The 21,568-nt window shown below is 40.8% G+C and overlaps 1 protein-coding gene across 19 annotated transcripts in view, besides 3 other annotated features; it reads left to right on the forward strand.

Moving 5' to 3' along the window:
- IL12RB2 (interleukin 12 receptor subunit beta 2) overlaps positions 1-21,568 on the forward strand; it is a 91,361-nt gene that overhangs the window by 22,782 nt on the left and 47,011 nt on the right. For all 19 annotated transcript variants that reach the window (NR_047584.1, NR_047583.1, XM_011541384.3 and 16 more), the window contains 3 exons: positions 515-665; positions 8,479-8,558; positions 20,725-20,944. Coding sequence is in view for 17 of the 19 variants with exons in the window: in XM_011541384.3 (XP_011539686.1) it covers positions 515-665; positions 8,479-8,558; positions 20,725-20,944 (451 nt within the window). In the remaining 2 variants the exon portion in view is untranslated. The remainder of the gene's footprint in view (positions 1-514; positions 666-8,478; positions 8,559-20,724; positions 20,945-21,568) is intronic.
- Positions 8,761-8,840: an enhancer, noted in NCBI's record as "active region_1175". NCBI's record gives its function as "activates an Ori minimal core promoter by ATAC-STARR-seq in GM12878 lymphoblastoid cells {active_cell/tissue: GM12878}" and the evidence as "EXISTENCE:reporter gene assay evidence [ECO:0000049][PMID:35858748]".
- Positions 11,964-12,053: an enhancer, noted in NCBI's record as "active region_1176". NCBI's record gives its function as "activates an Ori minimal core promoter by ATAC-STARR-seq in GM12878 lymphoblastoid cells {active_cell/tissue: GM12878}" and the evidence as "EXISTENCE:reporter gene assay evidence [ECO:0000049][PMID:35858748]".
- Positions 12,194-12,283: an enhancer, noted in NCBI's record as "active region_1177". NCBI's record gives its function as "activates an Ori minimal core promoter by ATAC-STARR-seq in GM12878 lymphoblastoid cells {active_cell/tissue: GM12878}" and the evidence as "EXISTENCE:reporter gene assay evidence [ECO:0000049][PMID:35858748]".

The raw sequence follows: 21,568 nt of genomic DNA on the forward strand, positions 1-21,568 counted from the left end.
AAAATAAAAGGTATAGGATTATGATTCTTTCCGGGATTGTTGTAAAATTCAATGGCTTATAATAACAAAGGATCAGTCCCACAGATAGCTGATATTCAAGAGAGTATAACTAATTAAAGGGTTTTTTTAAAAAAAAAAAAAGCCAGTGCTATGTTTGTGTTAAAACATTCATCACATCCTAATTGTAATCAAATAAAAAATAATCTCTAGTGTAGAAACTTTGTAGTTTTCAATCTTATTTTTCAGCTGGTTTCAGGATTCCCCTCGAGAACCTACATAGATGGGTTCTTAGTACCCAGAGATTTTGTTTTATTTTTAATGAGATGCTATCATTTCAGATTAATATCATATCTATTCGGTAAGACAGTCACTGATATTTCTTCTCATTTAATGGTAGGTCTGAAAAACAAATAAGATCAAATAGCCTGGGTTTTTTTTTTTTCATTTTATGTTAAAATTCCTTAAATTAGCAATCTAGTATTAATAGGCACTTTAAAAAAATGTCTGTTTCAAGGTTAATGTTACAAAGGCCAAAGGAAGACATGATTTGCTGGATCTGAAACCATTTACAGAATATGAATTTCAGATTTCCTCTAAGCTACATCTTTATAAGGGAAGTTGGAGTGATTGGAGTGAATCATTGAGAGCACAAACACCAGAAGAAGGTATATGTCCAAAATATACATACCTATCGGGGAGCAATAAAGGGGAGAGAGGGGGGAAGATGTAATGATTTCCTTGGAATAGAATCTTTAAACTACTGGTGCTGAATCAAAAAGCATGACTGCATTAGTTAACAAGTTAATTTTTATATTAACTTAAGTGCTGAAACTGTTCAAGGAAATATGTTTGTGTTGCAAGGAAATTTTTAACATTGGGTAAGTTCTACTCCTGTTTGCTATCAGTCATGTTGGTTATAATGCTTGGTTATAACTTATCTCTCTTACTATCTCAGTAACTTATTTCACAGAGCTATAACCAGTAATTAATCTCATTTCTTGTTAAAGCTTCATATGTTTTATATTTTTGATTCTATGAAAAGTAATGTGGCTCAATAAGCCATATGGAAAGCTTGAAAGAAAGTAGGCTCTGGAGACACATATTTCAAAATAAAATTTAGCATCCAGCAATCCTCTCTTGTCCAAATATTATAACACTGTACTTCAAGCCTTTGATATTTACTGCACAAATGAGAACCACCTGGCCACCCATAACTATGAAAAGGATATCAAATGTGTTTTTCAGTCTGATGAATTTTTCTTTTTTAGTAATTATTGGGAAGGGAATGTTATTGAAGTATAAGAAAATATTTTATTGAAGCAAAAATGCCTATGTAAACTTTATGCCAATATTAAATCTTTGGAGACACAAGAAATAGCCATCTGAATATTAGTTTTTAAAAGCACTCATTTAGGCCGGCATGGTCGCTCAGGCCTGTAATCCCAGCACATTGGGAGGCTGAGGTGGGCAGATCACGAGGTCAGGAGTTCGAGACCAGCCTGGCCAGCATGGTGAAATCCCATCTCTACCAAAAAGACAAGAAATTAGCCAAGCATCGTGGTGCGTGCCTGTAATCCCAGCCATTCGGGAGGCTAAGGCAGGAGAATCACTTGAACCCAGGAGGCAAAGGTTGCAATGAGCCAAGATTGTGCCACTGCAATCCAGCCTGGGCAACAGATCGAGACTGCATCTCATAAATAAATAAATAAATAAATAAATGCACTCATTTAGTGATATAGTAGAGAGTCTTTCATAATTTATATAAATTTGACTCAGAGAAAAACTTTTTGGCATATAATCCATTGTTCATTATCTGGAGCTTTTGTAACATTAACGTGCAAAATCTAAATTCTTATTTGTGAAATTTATGGATATGTGTGCATGTAAACTAGCCTCATAATTAAGTTGCATTTATTTTCTGTGAGCTACTAATGGCTTTTGATAACTGATGATCCTTAGCAATCATACATCAATGACATTCAAGGAACGGAAGGGCCTTTAGCAGAATATAATACCTAATATATGATTCATAGAATAATCTTATATTCTTCCTTACTTCTTGTATTAATTGCATTTTTTTTTTTTTTTGAGACAGAGTCTTGCTCTGTCACCCAGGCTGGAGTGCAGTGGCACAATCTCAGCTCAGTGCAACCTCTGCCTCCTGTGTTCCAGTGATTCTCCTGCCTCAGCCTCCCAAGTAGCAGGGATTACATGCATGCGCCACCATGCCCGGCTAATTTTTGTTATTTTCAGTAGAGACAGGTTTCACCATGTTGGCCAGGCTGGTCTCGAACTCTTGACCTCAGGTGATCCACCTGCCTCGGCCTCCCAAAGTGCTGGGATTACAGAATATATTTTAAAAATTGTCTAAAAGTGAATTTATCCAACAAATGATAATTTATTACCACTCATTTTATAATAAAATCTCTTAATGTTGAACCACTTGCCCTCTGGTTGTTACTTTTATAATCCAGAGCTTACTCATAATATCGTTTTATTATATATAGTCAAAGTAATTTTTTTAAAGACTATCTCATGAATTAGATTTTGTTTATATATGTGGTACAGATAAAACTTCTGAAAATGGGCTATATTTTATATCCAAGTTCAAGGTAGTAAGTAGTCTGAAAAATATTTAAGTTATATCACATTAAGCTAAACTATAAACTAGGGAAACTCTGGGCTTGTGAATTCTTGTCATTCTTACTCACATATGATAATGACCTAGTTAGAGATGTGTGAAAAGGTTTTTCTTTTCTTTTTTAAAAAGTGTTTGTCTTTTGAATTAAAATTCCTTCAAGGCAGCACAGTAACTTTCTTATTTCCTATAAAATAAACCACCATCATAACAATGAGTATAGCAACTCATTATGGTTATGAACTCATGGATGATTATGAATTGAACCTAGGAAGCTGGCTTATTCAGTCACTGAAGGTATTCATAAAGAGAGAAACCCATACTCTGAGATACACCACCTTTACCAAGCTCTGTTGGCTTCCTTTCTGTCTCTGAATCTCCCTTTTCTATGTTTGATTTTTCTGTGGGTTGTTGTAGGTCTTTTTTCTCTTACTCTAGGCTGCTTGGTTTTCACCCCTTACCCGCTGTTTCTGTCATCAGTTTCTTTATGAAACACCAACTGATGTAAACGTAAAAGGTGTGAATTTTTTTTAACACGTCTTCCTTTTAACCCTTTCAATGTGTACTCATATGTAACTTGGCATTTAAAAAAAATTAATAGTAAGCTTTTTTTTTTTTTTTTTTAGGTACTCTCTAAAACTGTGAATGACTCTACAACAGAGTCAGCCTTTTTGCAGCCTTTGCTTCTCAAAATTGAGAGAAATGTAACATCTCCGGGTGGATTGGTGTAGTTGTTTATATCATTTGAACAGTGGGTTAGGGCTTCCTTTACTCCATAGGGCCCTTTACTATGTCATTAAATTCAGCTCCTATCACTGAAAAACACTTTTTAAATGACCGAAAAGTAAGGGATAGGAGGAAAGAAACTACTTTGCTGTGTTTAAGAGAACAGTCTTGAAATCAGCATCCATCAAAGGCAGGCCTGATAGTGACACTGGGAAGAGAGCAGCCACATTTTCCTTGTAGTGGGAAAACATTCTTGAATTTGAGCTCAAGGTGTCCAGACATGCCTGAGAACATGCACAGGTATTGAGGGAAGGTGATCTCTCACCACTTAGAACACCCAGGAAGAGATGCCAAAATACTGATTAATCAGCTATTCCTTAGAGCTATGTTACCAATATGTCTCTGTCTGTTAATCCGCCATTTTAAAAAGTCTTATTTGCAGTTTGTGATCTTGCTCAACTCTATTACAGCTAACAAAGGAATCGTTGCATGTTCATTCGTACTTTGGAGGGGCAGAGTGGTAAAGGAGAAACCTTCCCCCATCATGGTGACAGCAAGGGTGAGGGGTGAATAATCCCTAAAGGGGGAGAAAATGAAGAGTTACCAGCTGCAGCCACCTCTTCCCACATTGAGAAGCTAGGAAATTCATGCACTCATTTGTAATTTAAAAATATTGCCAAGATAAGATAGGTGTGAACAATTAAATACTAGAGATTATTTTGGATAGCAAACATTTGATAACAGTCAAGCTTGGTGGATTGGCAAACATTTTCTCTACAGGTCCAGATAGTAATATTTTCAGCTTTGCGGATCATACGATCTGTCGCAACTGCTAAATGTGCTATTGTCACATGCAAGCTGCCATTGACAATACCTAAACAAACAGGCATGGCTGTGTTCCAACAAAACTTTATTTATGTATGCTGAAATTGGAATTTTATGTAATCTTCACATGTCACTAAAAAGGATTCTTCTTTTGTTTGTTTTGAGACGGAGTCTGGCTCTGTCACCCATGCTGGAGTGCAGTGGTGCGATCTCGGCTCACTGCAAGCTCCGCCTCCCGGGTTCACGCCATTCTCCTACCTCAGCCTCCCGAGTAGCTGGGACTACAGGCACCCCGCCACCACGCCCGGCTAATTTTTTGTATTTTTAGTAGAGACAGGGTTTCACCGTGTTAGCCAGGATGGTCTCGATCTCCTGACCTTGGGATCTGTCTGCCTCAGCCTCCCAAAGTTCTGGGATTACAGGCATGAGCCACCGCGCCCGGCCGGATTCTTCTTTTGATTTCTTTTCAACCATTATCAAAACCATTTTCTTACAGGATGTATTAAAACAGGCAGAGGGCCAGATTTGGCCCATGGGCCGTAGTTTGCTGACCCCTAAGCTAGCTATACTCGAAAGCATCATATTTGTGTCTTTTTGCTTGAGGCTTGAGAATGATTCTTTTCTCTTCTAAAGAGATTTATATCAGACACTTTCACTAACAGGAAAGTGTTATGTTTAAGATTCAGTAACAGTCCCTAAACCCTTCTCTCCTTCACTTGTTCTCCTCTAAGCTCAGCACCTATCTTGGAAGGAAGGAATGATAATTCAGAACTCTTTTCAAGAAGTTATATGAAGAAGAGCAGAGATATCAATCTTTTGTTGTTTTTGTTTTTAGGATCTGAGATAATACAGTGTATCTGCAAGGGGATGAAAAGAGTCCAGCAGAGAAGGAGAAATTAATGACACAGGGAAGGTGGGGATAATGACTGGAGAGATGTCTTTGATAAAGCAAGAGGGAGCGGGGTCCAGAACTCTAGCTAAAGAGTTGGACCGTGATGGAAGTAGGGATGATTCATCCACTGGGACATCATTAACAGTGCTGTGTTAGGGAATTGGTTGGGGGAGTTTGAACGTTTTCATGGTGGAAAAAGAAGGGAATTTCCATCTGATTTCTTCCTTTTGCTCGGTGAAGTCTGAGGCAAGGTCATCTCTTTTTCATATTGGTGGCTTCTTCCACTTTAACCCTACAGTTTTTTCCTTTACAGACAAAGTATTTTCATCTGACTTCCATTTCTCATATTTGTATGCTTAGTCATTTGTACCCATTTCTTTTGAAATCACTTGAACATACTGGCCTTTGGCTTTTTTTTTCTCATGTGCCTATAATAGTTTTATCTGTATTTGGCTAGATAACATTGAGGTTAGAACTTTTAGTGACTCTGTGACAGTTGAATGTCAAAGATTCTCCTCCCTATTAGCCCTTGTGTTGCTTTAAGCAGCAGTGATTTTACACCCCTGGTCATGAAATGTTACACTTTTTAGAGACTCATGCAGATTCAACTAATGATTTCTCTCCCATGAAGGTATACATTGCAGGTAGGCACCATTAACATTTCAGTTTACTTGCAATTTACCTTGTGAAAAGAATATAATTCTAGAATTTGATTCTTAGCTCTGTAATAATCTGTTAGGTTGTGGATTTTTAATGAGTCAGTGAGTGTCCCCTTTAGATTTCTTACCAATATGTAATTAACTGAAGACATGTACTGCTGTGGTACAAGTCAACTGGCTTTGACACTGAGCACACCCGGGTTTCCAAACCCTGATTTTACAAATGTCTGGATTATCTAGTTTGTGGAGTAGTCAGGTCTTGGTCAATGTAGTGAACTGTAATGGGAAAAGCAGGGTCTTCGGGGAAAGCAAGACCTGGGTCCAGTCCTCAGCTTTGCCATTTACCAGACCCAGGTCTTTTGTAAATCATTTAACTTTTGCCAGCCTCCTTGTCCTCAGCTGTAAAGCAGATGTAATCATATGCACCCTTGCGTTGTGTGAGGGTTAAACGAGATGATGTATATAGTGTCCGGACACCACCTGACAGTAGGTGGTTAGTGAACGTCATATCCCCTTTCCTTTGTTGCCTGTGCTTTTTTTCTTTTTGCATCTAAGCTAGCAGATAGAAGTCCCAGGTTTGATTCCTGGGCCACTCTTCATATTCCTGGAGAATTAAGAGCATTTTCAAAATGTTTTACATAAGTGTTGCTTACCTCTAAGTCCTCACTGCAAAGGTAAATACTACTGCAAAGGAGAGAAAAGAAAAGAAGTGAATGTTTAGAAAAAAACAAAAAAGAAAGTAGAGCAAGAAAGGCAGGAAAAGGAAGTAATGAAGGAGAGGATAGAACAAAAAGAAGGCCCAACTGATGGGGGATGGAAGTATCGCAGAGAAACCATTAGCTTTCTCAGAGCCAGGCACCTGCACGGTGCAGAGCCAAGGCTATGGGCTCTGGGATAAAACGGATTTGTGTTCAAAGCCTGGCATCTCTGATGATTAGTTCTGGGACCTTAAGCAAGTTCCTTAACCTTTCAGCACTTCAGTTTTCAAATGCGGGAAACAGCAAGAGCTACACTTGCTGAGCACTCACCATGTGTCAGCACGCTCCACTGAAATTCCCACTCCACCCTGTGTGATATGTGGAATTATCACCCTCATCTGACAGATGAGGGAGCTAGCCGAAGGATGTGGTTAGCATTTGTTCAAAGTCACAGAGCTGGGCTTACCCCGCAGACCTGGCTCTGAAGCTCACACTGACTACTGCAGGAGGAGGGGAGATGGAGCTGTGGATGGGCCCACACAGCACCTGCCCTCTACATGTGGGTACTTACGCTCCCTTTCTTTCTCTTTTGCTCTTCTCTTATCTCCTGTTATCCAGGTGGTGGGACTTAATTTTCTAGAAATTTCCATCTGGTTAGATGGAACTTTCTAACCTAGGAAAAAACCCCAGCGCAGCCTCCCCTCAAATACACTCTAAGTTTCACTGTTGAGGAAATTAGCTTGGTGCAGCTGAAGCCTGTTTTCAGGAGTTGTTTCTGCTGGTTCCACTCCTGGCTGTAAATCAAAACAAATCTAAGTGACTTGATGGTAGAGGAAACAAAATGACTTCACTCACTCACGTGAGCATGAACTCATGCACACACACACTCACACTTACACATACAGGAGTTGATTATTTAGTCTCTTTGCAAGTATGTTTGGTTGAAATTAAGTTGGGCCATATTTGACCATTGTCTTACAGATTGGTGGTTATTTATTTAATCAGTTCAGCCTGTGTTTTGGCATTAAATAGATAATATCACATGATTTGTTCATTCATTACTTAACAATTATTAGGAGCCTATTATATTCTAAGTGCTGCGCTGGGTATGTGGCATATTAAATGAGATAGGACTTCCCTTTAAGTACATCATTGTCTAATGATCACACACCAAATAATTGTACTATACCATGATAAGTCTAGGAATGGAGATGAACACAAGGTTTGTCATTTATATTAGTGTATTTTTACAAGACCAAAAAGTGTTTTTCTATATGAGTTGTATCTTCTCTGTTGAGAATTCTTTCTGCATTCTAGTAAAAAAAAAAAAAAAAGAAAAGAAAAGAAAAGAAAAGAACCACATATACTTTATTTTTATTTTTTTGCTCTGTCTTATGGTGCTAAAGCCACATGTACTTTCCTTGGGTTATTTTAATAACACATGTTTTAAGAGTAAGTTAAGGCCGGGTGCAGTGGCTCATGCCTATGTAATCCCGGCACTTTGGGAGGCCAAGGTGGGTGGATCTCTTGAGCTCAGGAGTTCAAGACCAGCCGGGGCAACATGATGAAAGCCTGTCTGTATAAAAAATACAGAAATTAGCCAGGCGTGGTGGTACGCACCTGTAGTCCCAGCTATGTGGGAGGCTGAGGCAGGAGGATTGCTTGAGCCTGGGAGGTGGAGGTTGCAGTGAGCTGAGATCGTGCCACTGCATCACTGCATTCCAGCCGAGGCAACAGAGCAAGATCCTGTCTCAAAAAAAAAAAAAAAAAAAAAAAAAAAAAAAAAAAAAGTAAGTTAAGAAACAAATTCCTCATCATTTTTTTTTAAATTTGTTTTTAAGGTAACCTTGTTTTTCTGACTTTTTGGCCAAAGATATATATGTTCATTGTTAAACAAGAAAAAGAAAAAATACTGGGACACACACAAATAATTGAAGTTATCCTCTAATTCTACTCTTCCAGAATTGTTTACTGAATGACCAGTTAACTTTCAAAGTAGTAAATATATGAAAATATGTCTTTTTTTCTCCTTTGAAACAGAGCCTACTGGGATGTTAGATGTCTGGTACATGAAACGGCACATTGACTACAGTAGACAACAGATTTCTCTTTTCTGGAAGGTGAGTTTTAAGCGTCAACTTAAAACTCAAGGGAATAAAACTGAAGGCAGAAAAAGACCTATTTGCATAGTGGCTTTTATATGAAGCTTCAATGATTTTGCTAGAGCTCATTTTCTCACATTCATGACACACCACAGTGTCATGTGCCTTTGGTGGATAGGGGTGAGAGCTGAGTTCCTTCTTCCACACAGTCACATCGTTTCAATCCCACTTCCTATAAGATCAAGGTCTTTTTCCATCCCTGGCATTTCCACCCTCTGACCCCAACTACTTCATCTCTTCTGACTGTTGTCCCCTTTCTGCCCACCCCCACCTCTCCTACATAAATATGCCCAGCAGTAACCATGTCACTTCACTTATTCACTCTTTGGGAAACAAAAGATGAAAAAGCTGTGGATGTGGATATTTAATAATGTTTGTTAAGTCATTGAAGAGGGAGAAGGAGGAAAGAAAGCTGCTCTACTTTAGGAATAGTAATAGTGGTAGAAAATAATACAAACAGGCCAGGTGCAGTGGCTCACGCCTGTAATCCCAGCACTTTGGGAGGCCAAGGCAGGCGGATCACTTGAGGTCAGGGGTTAGAGACCAGCCTGGCCAGCATGGTGAAACCCCGTCTCTACTGAAAATACAAAAATTAGCCGGGCATGGTGGCATGCGCCTGTAATCCCAGCTACTGGGGAGGCTGAGGCACGAGAATCACTTGAACCCGGGAGGCAGGGGTTGCAGTGAGCCAAGATCATGCCACTGCACTCGAGCTTGGGTGACAGAGTGAGACTACGTTTCAAAAAAAAAAAAAAAAGAAAATCATACAAACAGGAATAGAAAGCAGCCCTTCCTCAGGAATGGTAATAAAACAGTAGTAAATTAGACAACTTTCCAGAAAACAGTGAAGCCTGACATTATCATAGAATGCGAAAGTTTCACAAAGCACTGAAAGCTGGCATTACCATTTTATTTAATCCTCACAAAAATCCCCTGAGGTAAGTACTGGTACGCCCACTTACCAGTGAATGAGAAAACGAATGAATGAGTGAATGAAAAAACGAGTATCAGAGAGAGGAAAGAGAGGAAGTTCTTGCCCAAAGTCACCCAGCTACTGAGCACAGACCTGAGACTGAAACCTTATCCAGAACTGCTGCATCGTGACTCATCTTTGTTGAAGGAAAATGCTGTGCGATTCGAATTGAGCTACTGATTGGCATGCTCATAAGAGGTTTCCTGGTGAACTGCACTCTTTATTTCTCAGGACTCACATCCTCTTCACTACACCTCTTCCAGTTGAGGATAGAAAGTTTTGGAATTATGAATCTGAATGAGCACAAAACCAGAAGAGTAAGAATAACAATTATAAAGTCCTCTGATGGGGTTCACATGATGGGTTTTGATCATTGCACACTTCTTCAGTTTTAAGAAATGAGTGATTTCTTCTTCTTTCTCCTCCCTGTCTCTCTCACACACACATAAAACGTCTGGTATAAGAAGAGACTACTATAAATAGCCTGGTGAATCATGATCAGGCTCTTCACTTTGAAACTAACACTGCAGCTCAAAATTTATTTTAAAATGAATCTACTTTCAATAGCAAGACAATTCTCAAAGCAGGACATTTAGAACAGCCATAATTTGTGAATATTATAGAAGAACCCAGCCTAATTATTTCCTTTTCACGAGCAAGTGACTGGTTAAAACCAAAATTCCTCCTCTCATGTAAAGGTTTCTCCTCCAAAAATGTCCTCAACAGTGATCTGGAAAGATATGCTACGTGTTAATCTATTCCACGCCTCTCAACTCAAGGGTTTCTCTCAGTAGAATGAGGGTAATGATACAGGTATCTGCAAAGCTGACAAGACCATTGTGGGGATCAGCAAATGAGAGGACACAAATGTAAAAATCACAAGGGCCACCAGTGTAAAATTCAGCAGTGCTGCATGATGCGTGTTTATCCTGACAGTGAAAGCTCCATGCCTGCGTGCTTTTCACTGTAACAAACAGAGTTTATAGTGGACATCATCTTGGTTCTCTGAAACCAGCACCAGAGTGAAGTCAAAATAAGTATGTGTTGGCCATGAGTGATGCTTGGTAAATGTGAGTATGTGATTTCTTCTCTGCTGCCCTGATTTTATTTCTATCTTCACAAGGCTTAGGTTCTATAATGAGGTCTTGGAATTTGGAGGGACTTCAAAGCTCTTCTAGTTCAGCCTTCCTTTCATTATAAACATGGCTCCTACTCCTGCCAGGACAGACAGATGTCTCAGTGGGGATATTCTGGGACAGGGAGAATCTCACTTTGTAGTCTGCCCATGCCATGGTTGAACATCTCTTATTGTTTAGAAAATGTTTCCTTTTGTGTAGCCAGAATTGTGGGCCCAAGAAGGATGCTTGGGGTTGGAACTGGCTTAGAAGAAACCAAAAAGGGCAAGGCACAGTGGCTTACGCCAGTAATAATCCCATAATCCCTAATCCCAGCACCTGGGGAGGTCGAGGTGGGCAGATCACTGAAGTCCAGGAGTTTGAGACCATCCTGGCAGACATGGTGAAACCCTGTCTCTACCAAAATACAAAAAAATCAGCTGGGTGTGGTGATGCCCACCTGTAATCTCAGCTACTTGGGAGACTGAAGCAGGAGAATCCCTTGAACCCGGGAGGCAGAGGTTGCAGTGAGCTGAGATCGTGCCATAGTACTCCAGCCTGGGTGACAGAGCAAGACAAAGAAGGAAGGGAAGGAAGGAAGGAAGGAAGGATGGAAGAGAGGGAGGGAAGGAGGGAAGGAAGGAGAAAGAGAAAATAGAGAAAGAGAAAGAAGAAAGAAGGAAAGAAAAAAGAAAGAGAAAGAAAGAAAGAAAGAAAGAAAGAAAGAAAGAAAGAAAGAAAGAAAGAAAGAAAAGAAAGGAAGGAAAGAAAGAGAAAGCAAAAAGGTAAGCACTAGAAGCTTCTATAACTTGATGTCAGATGGTAGTCATCAAAAGCCAACCTCAAAACCTTCAGTGACTCTCTAGTCTAAGAGGCTCCCCAAGGAAAGTTGGATGCAGTCCTATATTGTCACAGGATTAAGTCCTTTTCTGTCAAACCTGGGCTTCTTTAATGGCCCCAAACAGGCCACTCAACTGAGGGTGGGAATGGAAACACTGACCAGAGTTACTGAGCAGTCCTGCTTTGGACCACAGAACCACAGAGTTATAGACCTCTAGAGCCAAAGGGATTTAACTGTCATGTAGTCTCACCCCACAGTTTAAAACATGGAAACTGAGGTTTCAAGAGGTGATTTTCCAGTGAGGGGATTTCAGGTGATTTGAGTCCACTCTTATCCCAGCCTCTAATAGGGATTCCTCATGCCACTCTCAGGCAGGCTTGGGAATTCAAGGGAATGCTGTGGTACAAGGGAGTTATCTAAGTGTCAGGCTAGAAGGAAAACTCTGCAGCCAGATCGCTTTGTGACAGGGCCCAAGTCATACCTCACTGGGGAAAGGGAGCAAGGGCGTGTGTGGTGGGGTTTTTTGTTTTTTGGGTTTTTTTTGTTTTTTTTTGTTTTTGTTTTTTTCCTTTGAGCAACTCTGGGAAACCAAATGCAAGAAACGCCCACCACTGCAAAGAAGGAAATCTCATGCCTTGGCATCAAAGGAAGCACCAAGTAAAACCCCATTTGCCTGTGAATAAAGTGAGAGCACTTTTCTCTTGCATATGGGGAAATGTGAGATGACCTTTCACTTTTGTAGGATGTTTACAATAGAGGAGAACAACTCCGTGCTGATTGGGTGCAGCCCCTGGGGGTTGGGGTGGGAGTATGTGTGTGAGTGTGGGTGTGAATGTATGTGAGTGTAAGGATGTGAGTGTGTGGAAGGCGTGGGAGTGTGGGGATGTGAGTAGGGTGTGAATATGTAGGTATGTGAGTGTGTGTGTATGTATGAATGGGTGCATGTGTCAGTGTGTGAGGATGTGAGGATGTTGGTGAAGGAGACCTTTGCTTTGTTATGGCTTGTCACTCCTTTTCCCATGACTTAGTTTCTCTTGAAAGTACCATTTCCTCAAAAATATCTTGTACTACTTTTTAAAATCACACCTTTTTTTTTTTTTTTTGAGACAGGGTGTCATTCTGTCCCCCAGGCTGAAGTGTGGTGGCACAATCTCAGCTCACTGCAGCCTTCACCTCCTATGCTCAAGTGATCCTCCCACCTCAGCCTCCCAAGTAGCTGAGACTACAGGCATCCATCACCACGCCCAGCTAATTTTTGTTTGTCACAGAGACAGGGTCTCATTCTGTCCCCCAGGCTGAAGTGTGGTGGCACAATCTCAGCTCACTGCAGCCTTCACCTCCTGTGCTCAAGTGATCCTCCCACCTCAGCCTCCCAAGTAGCTGAGACTACAGGCATCCATCACCACGCCCAGCTAATTTTTGTTTGTCACAGAGACAGGGTCTCATTCTGTCCCCCAGGCTGAAGTGTGGTGGCACAATCTCAGCTCACTGCAGCCTTCACCTCCTGTGCTCAAGTGATCCTCCCACCTCAGCCTCCCAAGTAGCTGAGACTACAGGCATCCATCACCACGCCCAGCTAATTTTTGTCACAGAGACAGGGTTTCACCATGTTGCCCAGGCTGGTCACAGACTCCTGGGTTCAAGTGATCTGCCCACCTCAACCTCCCAAAATGCTGGGACTACAGGTGTGAGCTACCACACCTGGCCCATAGCTATTTTTAAGAGGAAAAATACTTTCAATGTTGAAGCCAAAAAGTACAGCCTAATCTATGAAATGAAAGAAAAACACCTGGGTATTGTTAAAACCACAAATGCAATAAAAGTAAAAAATGTTGCTTGATTACGAATAGCCCCAGGGTTGGATTAGGCCCCTTTACAAAAGGGGGCTTTTAGCAATCCTCTCCCTCAAACTTCCTTTCTCTTCTCCTTCTGTACTGTTTTATATTGTATTCTTTCCTTAATTAAGTATCTCAATCCATGATTCCAATATACTTCTTTTCTAGTTAAAACAGCATGTATCTTTTAAGAAGAAAACCACCTTTCATATATATATGAAAAAGATATGAGAACCAGGTAAAGCCACATCAACCGTTCTAGTTTCCTCTCTTAATTTCTTTAGCATCCTCTCATTATCTTGATCATAGCAAATCACAAACTTTTGAAATTTGTTTGAGGCCATGAGTCTGGAAGAGAAATATTCATGTTAAGCTCATTCATTTGCTCAAACAAACATATGAAAGCTCCTCTTTAGTATTAGACACTGTACTGCATAGCTGGGATATGAAAGTGAACAAGACAAATCCAGTCCTCATGTCCTGGAGCTCACAGTCCAGCAAGAGGACAGGAGTAGGAGCAGGATGCTGAGGACATTTGGGTGTTAGGGAGCAGTTCCAGGTTCAGGTGGAAGGATGATGGTTGAGCTCGCCTAGTGGAGCAGGGGAGTGGTGGGCAAGCAGAGAGGGACACCTCTATGGATTTGGCATGGAAAGGATTACTTTAGTGAAGCACTGTTCCACGGAAATATAAGCAAGCCACAAATGGGAGCCACATGCATGATTAAAAATTGTTATGTAGCCAAATTTTAAAATGTAAAAAGAAACAGGTGAAATTAATTTTAATAATTTTTTTTCTTTTTTGAGATAGAGTCTCCCTCTGTGGCCCAGGCTGGAGTGCAGTGGCGTGATCTTGGCTCACTGCAACCTCCGCCTCCTAAGTTCAAGTGATTCTCATGCCTCAGCCTCCCAGGTAGGTCAGATTACAGGTGTGTGCCACCATGCCTGGCTAATTTTTGTATTTTTAGTAGAGACAAGATTTTGCCATGTTGGCCAGACTGGTCTCAAACTCCTGATCTCAAGTGATCCTCCTGCCTCAGCCTCCCAAAGTGCTGGGATTACAGGCATGAGCAACGGCTCTCGGCCTAATAATACATTTTATCTAACCCAGTAGATCCAGAACATTGTCATTTTACCATGTAATCAATTTTTAAAATTATTTGGATATTTTATAACCTTTTTATCCTACCAAGTTTTCAAAAACTGGTGAGTCTACTAAGTGCCAGTATGGGCACATTGGTTAAGACTTCACCCTCCAGACAGTAGCACATCTTGGCTCGGACTAGCCATGTTTCAAGGGCTCCATGACTTCCTACAGCTAGGGGCTCCCTCCCATATTCAACAGCACAGCTTCTGTGTTTTCAGAGCAATACAGAGAGAGTTAAGAAAATTCGGACTGGGCATGGTGGCTCATGCCTGTAATCTAAGCACTTTGGGAGGCCGAGGTGGGAGGATCACCTGAGGTCAGGAGTTCAAGAGCAGCCAAACCCTGTCTCTACTAAAAATACAAAAATGTTAGCCAGGCATGGTGGCATACGGCTGTAATTCCAGCTACTCAAGAGGCTGAGGCAGGAGAATCACTTGAACCCAGGAAGCAGAGTTGCAGTGAGCCGAGATCACGCCACTGCACTCCAGCCTGGACGACAGTGTGAGACTCCATTTCAAAAAGAAAAAAAGAAAGAAAACTCTTAGTTCCAAAAGTGGGGAAAAGATTTAGTGTTTTTTATTTGTTATACGAAGTAATTCATTTTGACAAACAGCTACCCTCAAACCACAGAAGATGGAAAGAACGAGAAGATAGCAAGCCCCGTATACCAATTTACGGCACAGCCTGAGAGAGACTGTTGTGAAAGGAACAGCTTATTCAGTACATTCACTTTGTCTCTTTCTCCTTGTATCTCTCTCTCATATGCAGAATATTCCAACCTATATCACACTGCACTGAAGTGATGAATTCTTTGGCCTCCTCATATGAAAAAGCTTGTTAAAAGTAGAAAGTATTATTTGGGACCTGATTTATATTGATGTAGGACAAAGGTCTATTGTAAATCCCTAGTGAGGATTGGCTGCCAGGACCTTGGGGCATTTATATAATTATAGGAGCTATCCGATCTCAGAATCAATATTTAAATACAAAAGCAGCAGATGGCACAATTTAGATTGTTTCGTTGCAATATTCAACTCTATCTCCCCCTTCCCAATCCTGGCCCATCACAGGCAGGCACAGCATTTCCAAAGATATTTTTGGAAAGAAAGGGCTGCTTTTCCTTGCTTACTAGTCACACATGTTATGCCAGCTGAAAGTAGGGAATTTTGATTGGATAGCAGAATGTGGCCAGTGCAAAAAAATAAGAGAGTAGGTAGCCAAGAATTAACAGAAGATAGAAAGAGGAGATGGAAAGGGCATTTTAAAGTTTTGCTTTCATGAAAGTTTCTCTTATTTTTCTGTTTTTCTAGCTGCCAAACAAGATAGAAATCATTATGCCACGGTCACCACCAAGAGGTTTGACTATCAGTTAAGTCAGTTCAGTATAGCAGAACACTGGGGAGTATCTAGGAAGTGCTAGCATGGTCCAGCAGTTAAGAGTTCACCTCTTGGTAGAGCTGTGCCACCTGGGTTTGAGTTCCAGCTTCACTACTTATTGGCTGGATGTTCTTGGGCAAAGTGCTTAAACTCTCTGTTCCTTATTTTATTCATGAGTAAAGTGCAGATCACATGAAGTTGTGAAGATTAATGAAATCGTTGTGAAAAGTGTTAAGTTATTGTTATGAGGCAAACATTGTGCATGACATTGAAGGTGCTAGTGGGAAAATAGATCCTTAGATAGTTTCAATGGAGTGTTTTCTAAAATGTCCAGGTGAGGGTTGTCTATTTTTTTTTTTTTTTTTTTTTTTTTTTCGACAGGTTCTCACTCTGTCACCCAGGTTGGAGTGCAGTGGTGCGATATTAGCTCACTGCAACCTCTGCCTCCTGGGTTCAAGCAATTCTCCCACCTCAGCCTCTCAAGTAGCTGTGATTACAGGCATGCACCATTATGCCCAGCTAATTTTTGTATTTTTAGTAGAAAGTGGTTTCACCATGTTGGCTGAGCTGGTCTCAAACTCTTGACTTCAAGTGATTTGCCCACCTCAGCCTCCCAAAGTGCTGGGATTACAGGTGTGAGCCACCGCGCACGGCCAAGGGTTGTCTTTTGAATCACTTCATTTGGACTGGGGTTGCAAAAGGCAGTCATGAGTTTTAAAATCAAGATGCTCACAAAAACTTACAAATTACATGTATTTTGTAACCAACTGAATGGCATTGGTGAGACTTCCATATAGAACAGAAGAGTAAGCCAAGAGTCAAGATGACCTAGCTCTTCATAGACTGGTAGAAGAGTCATGTAAGTGTATTAGCAAAACTGACAATCATGATATTTTTATATTACTTTAGAGTAACTGAGAGAAGGGAAGTCACCAAGAGTCTTAACATGTGCCAAGCACTCTTTAAAACAGTTTACCTCCCTTAACTCATTGAATGCTCCAATAAGCCTACACTGTACATGACAGTATCCTTATTTTATAAATAAGGGCACTGAGGCTCAAAAAGGGAAAATAATTTGCCCAAGGTCATACAGCTGCTATGTGGTAGAGCAAGGAAGCAAAGGATCTGCTCTAATAAGAAAAAAATCAAAGTCAGCAGTATTCCAAAGCCAAAATCAAAAGAAATAAAAGCTGTGATTAATAGTGTTCAGATTCCTCCAGCTTTCTAAGGTCTAGATTATAGACCCTCTTCTTTGATACAGGCTAAGCGCTAACAGATTTTTTCTTTATTATTTGCATCAGGGGAAGTTCAGAAGTAGAGCATTACTTTATGAGAAGTTCAGTAAGTTTTTTAAATCTTAAGAAGACATGATTTATCAATTCATGGAGACACCCCTCCTCCAATAGATCTTTAATTAAAAATAAAAACAGATGCATTGCATTCTGAAATGTGTCAGATTTTGTCCTGTCATGGATTACATTTACCACATTTTTAATGCTGAAAGCTTTTTCAGGCAGCAGAACTCTTACAGTAGGTTTACTGAGAGAGCTGTTCACTCTTCAGTTCTCAGACAAAGCCAAGTCAGAAAGGCTTTCCATAATAAATTTAAATCATTTCCCACAGGTCAGAGCAGAAAGAAAATGGAAGGAGAGAGGCAATGGGACTGTGGTTCCTTTATAGCATATTCTTACCAATAGGAGAAGGTGACAATGACAGTAGGAACACTGGCCTGAGACCCATTCTTAGCACTGTCAGAGAAGGAAAAAGAGGTGGCAGGTCTTGGAGACACTCCCAGGGATGCAAGACACATTCTGGATACTGCGCACCGCTCTCACATCCACCAGAGGGCACTCAAAAATCTCACATTACTTTTCTGTGGGGACTATTTGAAACCGTTCCTTAATGTCCCCAAGCTTCAACATCCTCAAAATCAGAATGGAGAGTTACAAGGGCTAAATGGGACATTAGACATAAAACTCCTGGCTCATGGTATAGCCCAATAAATGTTGGTCTTTCCTTTATCATTCACCCAAACCAGCAGCACCAGCATACAAATAGGTTGATCTGGGAAGAGTCGGCGGGCTCCTCCGGTTTGCAGTCCTTCTGAGCTCACAGCTTGTCTCCTGTGACTCAGAACCTGCTAACTCTGGAAAAAAAGGGATTCTCGGTCTCCACCCTCCCCAAACTGATGAACTCATGCTGCCTGTTCGTGCTGCATGTGAGAATGTACCAAACCTCACAATTAGAGAAGTTGCTTTGCAATTTTGGGCTAGAAGGGTGACTGAGGATTTCAACTATGAAACACGGCTGCCCACACCTACCAGTTCATTGTCTCAGGCTTGTCTATATAGGGAGCAGCACGTCATAACAGAGGGAACATTGGCCTAGAAGTCGAGAGCTCTGGGCTCTGCGCCTACCTTCTTCATCTGTCCATTGAATGGCCTTAAGCAAGTCACGTCATGTCCCTGGGCCCCTGTTTTCCCACTTATAAAATGAATCATTGAATTAACTGTTAATCTGTAGATTCACTTCCAGTTTGGTGGTTCCTTGATGATATTCCCTTCCATCAGGACAAGGCATAATCCAGGAGTAATGGACTACATACACCATTTGCAAACTTTATGTTGCCTTAAAAAATTAAAAAAAAAAAAACCCTGAACTGATTATACTGTTTTCAGTTGCTTCAGGAGACTAAGTGGCTAAATATCTGTTTTCCTATTAGCTCATTGAAGTTTTTGTTCCATCGACCCTGTCAGACGAGTTAGGCTTGTTTTTCAATTTGATTAAGGAGACCAATTACCTAAGAAAGGATAATCGTTATTCCAAAAATTGAGTTTGACATCTTATATCAGCCTAACCCATGGGATACCATATTTACTTGTCCACCTACTTCCATCCCACTCCCACCTTTTCATTGATATTTTCAACTCTAAAATATGGGATGCGAAGGGGAAAATGTAAGAGTCTGGGTCCATGCCCTCTGGAAATCTTTATGATCCGTCAGAGCCACACCCCTATTTACTAGACTGCTGTGATCAGCTAGATTTTCACAGCAGTCACTATGCACAGCCATTGGATCCAAGATAACATTTCACCCCTTCCTTTAGCACTTTACTATTATATCAAATGAGATTTCTGGGATGTCTATGAAGGACAGTGGGAGGGAGATAATAAGACTGGTTTGCAATGTTAGCGTTGGACTGAAGCCTCTTGGGTCCCTGGCCAGAAATAAGAGTTTTGTGAGCTCAGTTAACTCTTGGGAAGTACCTTAGGGTTGGAAAACTTGGGGTGTGAGTGGAGGTAACAGTCCTATCTCTGGACTTGCAGAAGAGACACATAGGGAACAACGGAGTGAGAGATAGCTGAGGGGATGGTCTTCCCTTGCCAGTGTCTGCTTTATTGTTTTTCTCCTCTGACAAAGGGCATATTTAATAATAACAGTTTAGAACATCCTACTCTAAAAAGCACTTGCTTATTCTAATCCATACAACAGGCCTATGAGATCGGCTGCGACAGACATTTGAAATGCTGACTTTAGGGAAAGGCAGAATGTCCACACAAAAGGGCCCACAGCAACATGACATCCACCTCGTGCACTGACTATGGTTTAAGATCTAGTTTTGGGCCTTTTGGATCCAGAAGGGTCACCAGAATGGACCTGCATTAATCAAGCTTCCAGAAATGGAGATATAAAAACTAGATGCTCATGGATTAATTTCAGCAAGAAATGCAGCTGTGGGGCCAACCAGAAGGCTTGAGTCAGCAGATAGGAACATTCTCTCCCAGTATGCTAATTGTTTCAGAAGCCAAATTATAATCAGAAGGCCAATTTATTCACTTAAAGTGAAAAATAAAAATTATAAGTGAACCAGATGTTCATGTTAGCCCAGCCTTTCCTGACAGATAATCGACAGAGGAAACCAAATTATTAGAAGAGTGCTTGGTGAGCAGGGAACCCAGGCAAGGGGCATTTGCTGACTACAGTGTGTCTTTCAGCAAACACAGCCGGAGGCCCCCCACCCATGGAAGGGACAGCCTTGCCAAGAAAACTGTAGCACTTGAATCTGGTGAGCAAGCCTTCCTCACCTTGCATGAGGCATGGATGGGCACCGCCAATGCTAGACTTGACAACTCTCCATATTCTATGCTTCTGTTTCCCATGGTCCTTGTCAAAACAGGGTTATAATACAAATAATTAGTTCTCTGCTTACTTTCTGGGATTGCTCCCAAATGATCTCAATTGGAATTTTTGCAGTTCCAAAAGTTGTTAGTTACACGTTTATGAACAGTGTCTTAGTTTCCTAGCACAGATGGCTAATTCAATTCACTAAATGAAGATTTTACTAGTTTAGCTCTTGAAAATCTTCTGTTTGATGTCTTGAGCAGCAGTGCACCTTCTGTAGAAAAGGTTATATGTGTGTGTGTGATTTACAAATTTAGAAATGGAGACTCAGAGGGGCTGAGTGCCTTGCCCTTGGGCTGTGTAAACAGTAGAGCTGGAACTCAAATCCAGATCTTCTGAGTTGAGATTCTATACTTGTTCTATTGGATGTGACCAAGTTGTCTACTATTAGTAAGTTTCATTTTAAAGCAAAAAAGAAAATCAATGCGTTCTTAAGAATTATCTTTTAAAAACGTTAACTGATTTTTTATTTCCTAAATGGCAGGGAGGGGAAGGTGGGTATTGCATAAAAGTGTGTAGCAGGGAACATGAGATGATATGAACAAAAAGGTCACTCAGCTGTAGCTGCCTAGTACATCTGTACCCATGAGGTCCAGGCACAGAGCATCAGTGATCTTGTCTGGGAGTAAATAGTGAATAAATGTGTCTTGTTGCAGAATCTGAGTGTCTCAGAGGCAAGAGGAAAAATTCTCCACTATCAGGTGACCTTGCAGGAGCTGACAGGAGGGAAAGCCATGACACAGAACATCACAGGACACACCTCCTGGACCACAGTCATTCCTAGAACCGGAAATTGGGCTGTGGCTGTGTCTGCAGCAAATTCAAAAGGCAGTTCTCTGCCCACTCGTATTAACATAATGAACCTGTGTGAGGCAGGTAAGTTCTAATTTTTCTTTAACATTGCCTGTGGAAAACTGTGTCTTACTCATCTCTTATCTCCTGCAGGCCCAACCCAGGACCTAAAATGAGTAGCTAGGAGTTCAGGCTTTGGAGTCAACAGCTTTCAGAGGCTTTTTTTTTCTTTTCCAATCAGCCTATGAGTAGCCTTGGACAAGTAAATGAACACCTCTGAGCTTCAATGTCCTCCTCTCTAAAATAGGAATTATATTGCCTGTCTCATAGGTCATTTTGAAACTAAATATTAATACATAGCAGGTATTTAATACATTGTAGTTAAGGAAATACTAGTTACATTAAATTGAACACCAATATCTGACTAGCTTTTATAGAAGCAGGAGAAATACGTGTTATGTTTCAGAAAACATTTTACACCTAAAGTCAAAACGTCTTTTTAAAACCAAAGTCGGGGATGGTGGTGTGTACCTATGGTCCCAGCTACTTAGGAATATGAGATGGGAGGATTGCTTAAGCCCAGGAGTTCCACGCCAGTCTGGGCCTCACAGTGAGACCCCTTTCATCAAAAACAAATAAATAAATAAATACAACCAATAATATTGAAATTCTGACTAATGAAACTATAGTAAAATTTTGTTTTACCAT

This window comes from Homo sapiens, chromosome 1 (genome assembly GCF_000001405.40).
Source record: "Homo sapiens chromosome 1, GRCh38.p14 Primary Assembly".
Taxonomy (NCBI): Eukaryota; Metazoa; Chordata; class Mammalia; order Primates; family Hominidae; genus Homo; species Homo sapiens.